The sequence below is a fragment of the Homo sapiens genome, chromosome 5, assembly GCF_000001405.40.
Source record: "Homo sapiens chromosome 5, GRCh38.p14 Primary Assembly".
Lineage (NCBI taxonomy): Eukaryota > Metazoa > Chordata > Mammalia > Primates > Hominidae > Homo > Homo sapiens.
In genome coordinates this window covers 159737619-159747940 of record NC_000005.10, presented here as the reverse complement: position 1 = coordinate 159747940, position 10322 = coordinate 159737619, and positions in this window count along the sequence as shown.

Genomic DNA, 10322 nt, shown 5'->3' with positions numbered 1-10322 from the left:
GTGAGATTGTGTCTCAAGAAAGGAAGGGAGGGAGGGAGGGAGGGGAGAGAGAGAAAGAGAGAAAGAGAAGAGAAAGAAAGAAAGGGAAAAGAAAGAAAGAACTGGGGGAGGGGTTGAGGTGGGGATGGATGCCTGTAAATTAAGAGACATACAAGACATATACCAAAGAATAAACTATAGTGTCTAGGGACACACACTGGGTGATGAAATGAAAGGGAAGTCCAACAAAGTTATTCCCACAAAAGTCAAGACTGTGGTTACTTTTGATTGATGGCTGTGATTTGATGGGGCCCATGGTGGGCTTTCGGATAGCTTGGAAAGTTCTATTTCTTGACCTGGTGGTGGCTAAAATGGTGTGTGTCATATAACAACTCATTGAGCCAGACAGCAGTTTTGTAAGGTTTTCTATATCTGTGTTTTATTTTACTGTAAGCAAATAATAAAAGGAGTGAAGGTTAAGGGGACCTCAGATCCCAACTAACACTGAATACTAACACTAAAGCCCATGTAACTCTAGCTAAAATCTACTGAACATGTACTATATGCAAGGTGCTATGCTAAGTCCTTTACCATGGCAGTAAAGTTCTCTGAGTCTAGAGTCAGGTGTCTTGCTTAGTTTCCTTTACTACTGTGTGAATTTGGGCAAGTAACTAATTCTCTTTGAGCCTCTGTATTCTCATCTCTAGGGGCAATGGTCTGTCTTTCATAAGACTATTGGGGTGAGATTTGCATGTGAACTTTTTAGCTCAGTGCCTGACACATAGTATATGCTTAGTAAATGGTAGCCACTGTTGTATCCATGTAAGGCGCTGTTATAACTCTCACATTATAAGTGAAAAAATTTAAGGCTCAGAAAGACTAAGTCATGGAATTATTCAGGGCCGAACCCAGGCCCTCAACCTTTCCCTGTGCTTCCCCAACTACTAACAATTTTTTGAAAGAAAAATGGTGCAATGGCAAATGACAGTGGCCTGGCCTGGTTCCACAGCTCTGTTTTGAAGGTTATCTGGGGCCTTGCTCCCTCACTTGCCCCAACACATGTTGTTGCAATTTCACTCCAAGAAAGAGACTTCAGTAGTGCTGTCCGCAGCATGGCTGCCTGGAGCATCCTTGGAAGACAGAGAGCAGGCAGGAAGGATGCAGGCAGTGAAGCCTCTTCAGCAGGGGCATAAACAAGTCCCCACTCCCAGAGGGGCCAGGAGCCCAATGCGGCAGCTGGCTGGATGCGTCACACATATCGTGCTGAGAGAGAAAATAAGTGGTATTCCTCTGTGCTGAATTTTAAGTGTAAACAAGCAGATTCATGATAATTAGCAAATATTAGATATGTATTGTTCCTTCCCCACTCCCAAGACACTTCTAGGATCTCCAGCTGAGATAATAACGCTAGGTGCACCACTCCCAGGGCCACAAGTATTGTTCCAAGACAAAGGCTCTTCATCTGTGTTTGTTCTTGTTTTCCATCAACACTTGAAACCTTGTTCACCTATGTTTTATTGGGATTTCCCGCTTTGTTTGCAAGCAAGGAGGAATAAAAAACAGCATTTGAAATTAAGAACTTAGATAAGGTCTCAATTCTCTGATCCCCATCTCTCAAAGGAGGAAGTCATATTTACTTCATGAAAGGACTGGTGTGAAGATGACTGAAGGAACATATTCAAAGAACCTCATGTAGAGGTTGGCACACAGTAGACACCATAAATGAAGGTGCCTTCCTAGCTGCCACTGCCAGTATACCTTCAGCAGAGAACCAAGATGGCAGAAAAGCAGCACACATGCCTCTTTCCCCTGTGGTATTCCAGGTAGACATCATTAACCAATGACGATATTCTTTGCTACTTGGATTAATTTTCTGTTGCTACTATAACAAATTACCACAAACTTGGTGGATTATAAGAACACAGCTTTATTATCCTATAGATTTATAGGTCTGAAGTCCAATACAGGTTTCACTGGGCTAAAATCAAGCAGGGTTGCCTTTCTTTCTAAAACTTTGAAAAAGAATCTATTTTCCTTGCCTTTTTTTTTTTTTTTTTTTTTTTTTTTTTTTTTTGCTTCCAGAGGCCTCTGTTTGGTCCCTGCACATAGTCCCCTATGTCTCAGAGCCAGCAACAGCTTGCCACACCCTTCTCACACTGCTGTCTCTCTCTGACCACAGCCAGAAAGTTTTCTTTGTTTTTAAGGACTACTGTGATTAGATTGGGCCACTGAATAATCCAGGATTGCCTACCCATTTCCAGATCCCTAACTTTAATCACATCTGTAGAATCCCTTTTGCCATCCAGGGGTTAGGATATGGACATCTTTGGGGGCCGTTATTCTGTCTACATTGCTCAATGCAGTGGTATAGGCAGCCACTATTAGTGGGTCAGAGTTTCACCAGAGACATGAAATCCATTTGGGCCGTGAAGTCAAAGCTATCCATGCTTTGGAGATTCATCAGGAAAGATACAAAACAAAGCCAGTCAGAGAACAACTGGAAGCAAAAGAAAGCAACTGCCATATGCTGAACATGTTTAAAAAAATCAAAACAGCATTATTGAGATATGGTTGACATGTAACAAACTACATGTTCAAAGTATACAATTTTATAAGCTTTGACTTATGTGTACATCTATGCAACTATTATGAAAAGCATCATTATGAACATATCCATCCTCACCAAAGTCTGCTTGTCCTTTATAATCCCTCTGTCCACTCCATCCCATCTTCTCCTATTCCCAGATAACCACTGATTTGCTATCAGTAGACATTAGTTTCCTTTTTGTAGAATTTCAGATGAATGAAGTCATACAATAAGTCTGAATTTTTGTCTTTTTTTTTTCAGTGTAATGACTTTGAGATTCATCCATGTTGCTGTGTGTATCAGTAGTTCATTGCTTTTTTGTTGAGTAGCATTTCAATGTAAAACACAATTTTGTTTATTTTTTTCACCAGATGATGAAAATTTGAGTTGCTTCCAGGTTTGGGCTATTACAAATAAATCTGCTATACACATTCATACACAAGGTTTTAGTGTTTTTTTTGTTGTTGTTGTTTGTTTGTTTTTGTTGTTGTTGTCTGAGATGGAGTCTCACTCTGTTGCCCAGGCTAGAGTGCAGTAGCACGATCTTGGCTCACTGCAACCTCCACTTCCTTGGTTCACGCAATTCTCCTGCCTCAGCCTCCCAAGTAGCTAGGACTACAGGCATGCGCCACCATGCCCAGCTAATTTTTGTTTGTTTTTTTTTTTAGTAGAGATGGGGTTTTGTCATGTTGGCCAGGCTGGTCTCAAACTTCTGATCTCAGGTGATCCACTCACCCCGGCCTTCCATAGTGCTAGGGTTACAGGTGTGAGCCACCACACCTGGCCCATGCACAAGTATTTGTATGGACCTATGCTTTCATATCTCTTGTGTAAATACCTAGGGGTACAATGGCTGGGACATGGGGTAGGCATATGTTTAACTATTTAAGAAAGTGCCGAACAGGTTTTCCAATGTACTTGGACCATTTGACCAGCAGTGTATGAGAACTTCAGTTGCTTTCTGTCTTTGGCAATACTTACTGTGATCAGTCTTTTTAATTGTAGTCATTCTAACAGGGGTAGAGTGGTATCTCATTGTCTTATTTGCATTTACTTAATAATGATGTTGAACCTTTTTGTAATGTGCTTATTTGTCATCCATGTATCTTTTTTGGTAAACCTTTTACATATTTTTTATAAATGTAAAAGATTTCTTTATTTTTTTGAGTTGTTTGTTTTTTTATTACTGGGTTTGAGAGTTCTGTATATATTCTGAATACAATTCTTTGTCAGATATGTGATTTACAAATATTTTCTCTCATTCTGTGGCTTGTTTTTTCATTTGCTTAACCATGTAATTCAAAGAGCAAAAGTCTTTAATTTCAATGTAATACAATTAATCAATTTTTTCTTTCATGAATTGTGCTTCTGGTGTTGCATCTAAAAAATTCTTTGCTTAATCTAGGGTCATAAAAATTTCCTCCTATGTTTTCCTCTAGGAGTTTTACAGTTTTAGGTTTTTCATTTAGGACTATGACTCATTTTGAGTGAACTTTTGTATATGGTTCAAGAGATGGATGCAGTTCTGTCTTTGTTTCTTCCATACAGATACTCAACTGTTCCACCACAATTTGTTAAAAAGACTATCCTTTCTTCACCGAATTGCCTTTGCACCTTTACCAAAAATCAGTTGCCCATATATCTGTTAAGTCTATTTCTGGACTCTTTTCTGTTTCATTTACCTGTCTTGACACTAACATCACATTGACTTGATTACTGTATCTTTATAAGTGTTCAAATCAGATAGTGTTAACCTTCCAACTTTGTTCTTTTTACAGTTATTTTGGCTATCCTAGGTCTTTCGCATTTTTATATAAATTTTATAATTAGCTTGTAAATTTGTACAGTAAACTCTGCAAGGATTTTTATTGGGATTACACTAAAACTATTGATTAATTTGGGGGGGAACTGACATCTTAATATTGCATCATCTTCATTGATCCATGAACATTGTATATATTTCCATTTATAGCTCTTTAATTTCTTTTAACAGTGTTTTGTAGTTTTCAGTGTACATCTTACACATATTTTGTCAAAAATATTTCCTATTTCATATTTTTGATTCTACTATAGGTGACATAGTTTCTTAATTTTAGTTTACTGCCATGATATATAAATGTAATCTTTTATATTGATTTTCTATCCTGAAACCATGCTCGTATTTACAACTTCTAGTGACTTTTTGGTAGGTTTATAGGATTTTCTATGTAGATGATTATATCATCTGAGAGTAAAGACGGCTTTCTTTTTCCTTTCTATTCTATCTATTGTTTATTTCTTCTTCTTGTCTTATTTTATTAGCTAAAACATCAGTACAATGTTGAATAGAAGTAGTAAGAATGGACATCTTGGCCAGGCGCGGTGGCTCACACCTGTAATCCCAGCACTTTGAGAGGCTGAGGCGGGCGGATCACGAGGTCAGGAGATCGAGACCATCCTGGCTAACACAGTGAAACCCCGTCTCTGCTGAAAATACAAAAAAATTAGCCGGGTGTGGTGGTGGGCACCTGCAGTCCCAGCTACTGGGGAGGCTGAGGCAGGAGAATGGCATGAACCCAGGAGATGGAGCTTGCAGTGAGCTGAGATAGTACCACTGCAGTGCAGCCTGGGCGACAGAGCAAGACTCCATCTCAAAAAAAAAAAAAAAGAAAAGAATGGACATCTTTTTCTTGTTTCTGATTATAGGGGGAAAGCTTTCAATCTTTCACTTAATTTTATTATTGTGAAACACCTATTATACAAAATAGGTGTTTTATGGGCCTTTTATTGAGTTGAGGAATTTTCCTTTATTCTTAGTTTGCTAAGAATTTTTTTTCTTTCATAAATATACATTATATTTTGTTACGTGTTTTTCTGCATTTTTGGTGGTTTTGTGGGTGTATGTGTGTGTGTGTGTGTGTGTGTGTGTGTGTGTGTGTTTCTTTTTTCGTCTGTTAATATGGTGAATTACATTGATTGATTTTTCAAATGTTAAACCAATTTTGCATATCTTGGATAAGCTCCAGAATAATTCAATTTACTTGGTCATAATGAGGTAGGAATTATTAAGAAATTATTTTAGGCAGCTAGAGAGGAAAAAGGGGGTCCTTGGAAGATTTTTCACAGCTCTTGTCTAGCATGAAAGCCCTGGCTCTTAGACCCAGGCAGGAAACCTTTGATATGCAAATGCCAACCTTTAGAAACTGGGTCCACCCAACATGGCTATTCCCACCTTTGTCTTCTTGCACTTGCCCCCATATGTGCCTAGCAGCATGGCCGCCCCCACATATCCCCATATGTGTGGAACATCATGGCGCCCTGTATTTGCATATTAAAAGACTAGGGTGGGAGGGCCAGTTTTTTTGCGGGCTACATGAATGACATGCCTGGTCTAACCAATCCCCTGAGCCCTATGCAAATCAAACACTGCCTCCTCCAGCCATCGAATATAGCTGGCTGATACTACCTGAAAGTGGGGTTCCATTTCTCAGCTTTGGCGCCCCTCTCCCTCTCTCTCTGTACAGGGGAGCTTCTTTCTTTCTTCCACCTTCTTTCTTGCCTATTAAACTCCTTGCTCCTTAAAACTACTCAACATGTGTCTGTGTCTTTTTTTTCTAATTCCACTAGAGAAAAAGAACCTGGTGTTCTCCACTCATCAGAGCTGTATCAATAATATATTATCCTTTTTATATTCATTGAAATTTGATTTACTGTTTTACTTAAGATTTTTTGCTCTATGATTTTCAAGAATATTGGCCTATAATTTTCTTATCTTGTAATATCATTTTTAATGGTGGGCTCATAGAATAAGTTGGTAAGTATTCTTTTATGTTCAACTTCCTGGAAGAGTTTGCATATTATTTATTATATTTTTGATAGGATTCCAAGGAAGTTTTCTGTACCTGGAATTTGGTGGGGTTTTTGTTTGTTTGTTTTGTGCATTTTTGTGAGAAGTTTAACTACAAATTCAGGCTATTTATCATTGAGAGATCTTTGATAGATTGTATCTTTCAATAAATTTGTCCATTTCATTTTTTGTCAAATTTATAAGCATATATCATTTATTTTATAGGCATAGTGTTGTTCAAAATATTCTCTTATTATTCTTTTAATATCTGTAGAATCTGTAATTCTGCTACTTTTCTCATTTCTGATCTTTCATAATTAATGTCTTCTCTTCTTTTTCCTACTCAGTTTAGTTAGTGGTTTATCAATTTTATTGATCTCAAAGAACTAGTTTTTTATTTCAATGATTTTCCTGTATTGTTTTTCTATTTCATTGACATGTTCCCTGATTTTTATTATTTCCTTTTCTCTGCTTCTTTGGCTTTAACATACTATTTTTTTTTTTTTGCAGGTGGAATCTCAGGTCATTGATCTGAGAACTTTCTTATTTTCTTTTTTTTTTAACTTTTGTTTTAGGTTCGGGGGCACATGTGAAAGTTCGTTACATAGGTAAACTCACGTCATGGAGGTTTGTTGTACAGATCATTTCATCACCCAGGAATTAAGCTCAGTACCCAATAGTTATATTTTCTGTTCCTCTACCTCCTCCCACCCTCCACCCTCAAGTAGACCCCAGTGTCTATTATTTCTTTCTTTGTGTTCATAAGTTCTCATCATTTAGCTCCCACCTGGCAGTATTTGGTTTTCTGTTCCTTTCCTGTGTTAGTTTGCTGAGGATAATAGCCTTTAGCTCCATCCATGTTCCTACAAAAGACATGATCTCATTCTTTTTTATGGCTTCATAGTATTCCATGCTGTATATGTATTACATTTTCTGTATCCAGTCTACCACTGATGGACATTTAGGTTGATTTCATGTCTTTGCTATCGTGAATAGTGCTGCAATGAACATACACATTCATGTGTCTTTATGGTAGAATGATTTGTATTCCTCTGGGTATATAGCCAGTAATGGGATTGCTGGGTAGAATGGTAGTTCTGTTTTTAGCTCTTTGAGGAACTGTCATACAGCTTTCCACAATGGTTGAACTAATCTACACTCCCACCAAAAGTGTATAGGTGTTTCTTTGTCTTCACAACCTCACCAGCTTCTGTTATTTTTTGACTTTTTAGTAATAGTCATTCTGACTGGTGTGAGATGGTATCTCACTGTGGTTTTTATTTTCTAGTATAGGCACTTAGTGCTATAAATTTTCTCCTAAATACTGCTTTAGCAGCATCTCATAAATTCATGCCTTATTTTTATTTATATTCAGTTCAAAATACTTTCTTAATTTCCTTCTGATGTCCTCTTTAATCCAAGGATTATTAAGCAGTGTTTTATATAATTTTCAAATATTCGGGGGATTTTATAGATATCTTTGTGTTATTGATCTCTAATTTAATTCTGTTTTGGTCAGAAAACATATTGTATCATTGGTATCCTTTTAAATGTATTAAGACTTGTTTTATGTACCAGAACATGGTATAACTTGGTAGATGTTCCATATAACTAAGCACCTTAAATGCCTTTTTATATATTTAATCTTTATAAGAATGGTACTATCATTTCCATTTTAATAAAGAACCAATAGATGATACTGTCCTCCTTATTTTAAAGAGAAAAGGCTAAAAATCAATCAACTTAAATAATATATTCAATGCCAGACAGCTATTAAATAGGAGAACTGGAATATGCTCTCATCTGACACCAAAACCAAGCTGTTAACCACTCTTTCATGATTAACCCACCCACATCCATTCCTCATAAGCTGGGTAGGACCACTCATTCTAAAGAGGCTGAGTTCAGACGCTAATTTTCTCTCAAAGTCTTGAAATCTATCTCCTAAATTGCTCCTTTCTAGCATAAACACAATTGCATCAGTTGCTAATACAGATGTAAAGGTGAGTTCTGTCTGATGGTTAGAAATGTGCAAAGCCCAACTGCTGATTCAAGTCAGAAACTTGCTACTGAGCTCTGCTGCTGACTGATGCTCAATCACCAGATCTTTCTAATAATACCCAAGAACAAAGACTGATATTAGGTGTTTTTGCCTCTTCCTAGCAGGGAATGGCTGATTGTCCCTTAAAGCCCAATGATGCTTAGAGAGCCTCTGGATTAGTATGATTTATTTATATGTCTGTGGAATTTGCATAACAGCCTTTAAGTCAACCTGCCTTGAAATGGCTCTTTCCTTTCTCTTCTCTTGAATTTAATGGTCAGATATTAGAAGCACTACCTTATTGCTAGTATATGTAGTTGTAGTCCTTGTTCACTAGGACTGATGCTGATCGGGAGCCTATTAGTCCAATTCAACAAACGAGTTTTTGATCATCTGGCAGCTTCAATTATCTAAGTTATCCAGCCCCTTTCTTACTCCTGTTACTACAGTAATTTGACAAGCCTGCTAAAGATCTTTCTGGCTGCATCCACCACCTTGCACAATGAGTTATTTGAATAAATGTCTTCCAGGTGCATGTTTCTGTTACATGCAAAGTCAATTTAACTTGTAGAGTTATTTGCAGGAGCCCACATTGTCCATGTTGACTACTTCCTAATGCCACTTAGGCTAAAATCTCAAAGGAAGGGAGTGTGCTGCCTGAGTGAGCACTTCTTTCTGAGTGCCTTTCTCCATCACTTGAAATGCTAAATGGCCAGTACCAAAGGAGGGAAAAGAACTCCTGGGGATGTTCTTTAGCATCTAAATCTCTAACCTTCTCTGAAATAGACTGGTTTCTACATGCTAATTATTATCCTACAGTTTACTAAAGAGTTAATATTCATGGGAAAGCATATACAGCATCTACAAATTAATCTATGCCATACAACATCTGATTTTTGAATTTCTTCTGAGAAGTGATGCTACAGGTATAAAATGAAATCGTTCTGTACCAACTTTAAAGCCTGAAGAAGCCACCATTCAATATGACCAACAAAACTGCTTATGTTTCTGGTTTCTCCCAAATGGAAGCTACATGGTTGAAAAAAAAGTCATCTGTCCTTAAGACCCTACAAACTTTTGAGAGGCCATTAGTCAGGAATGAAAAATCAGTTTTGGTTTATGTGTCACTATTGATTGACTGGAATTAGATTCTTGGAATTCCATGTTGAGAAATGACTCTGAGGACATATCCTTCATCAGTGGGAAAAAGCATGGTGATTGATTAGTGATGTCTGCTGTGAACACAGTAAAGAGGTATGGTGGAATTCCCAGAGTGCTAGATGGGGTGCCAGAGTGCCAGAGTGCTGCGCACTGGGAATATAGCAGTGAACAAGACAGAGTCAGTTGATGAACTCATAAATCTTACAGAGTCAGAATGATTACTAGGGTCATTTCTTGCTTTGTTATCCTAAAATTTAGTCGTTCTTGTTCTGCCCACCAATCACTATTAATGGATTATTGTAAAATATCAGCAATGTCCATTAGGACCACTCAGTCCAGTTCTCTAGCAGAAAAACCCATAAGTCTTCTGTGCAGACACCTTTCGTGTCTATGTAGACAAAAGGTGTCTACATAGTAAGACTTGTCTTTCAGTCATTGTAATTTTTTCTCTTAAAGAGCAAACTGGCCAAGAAAAACTTCACCTTGCACATTTCTCCATAGTTATAGACAGTGGTAATCTTGGCCAGGGTCAACTCTTGTTTACAGAGAATGGAAAGCAATGAAAAAGAGAAAGCCAAGCATGGAGGTGGGATGGGGTAAGCAGTTACTGTCTTCTTTAGGGCCCCATGAAAAGGCAATTCCTGAGACAGACTAATCACACCAGAACAATGTGTGTTCACCTTCTTGCTAACTGGCTAGCAGCTGTTTCCAGATGCCCCCCATTTTGG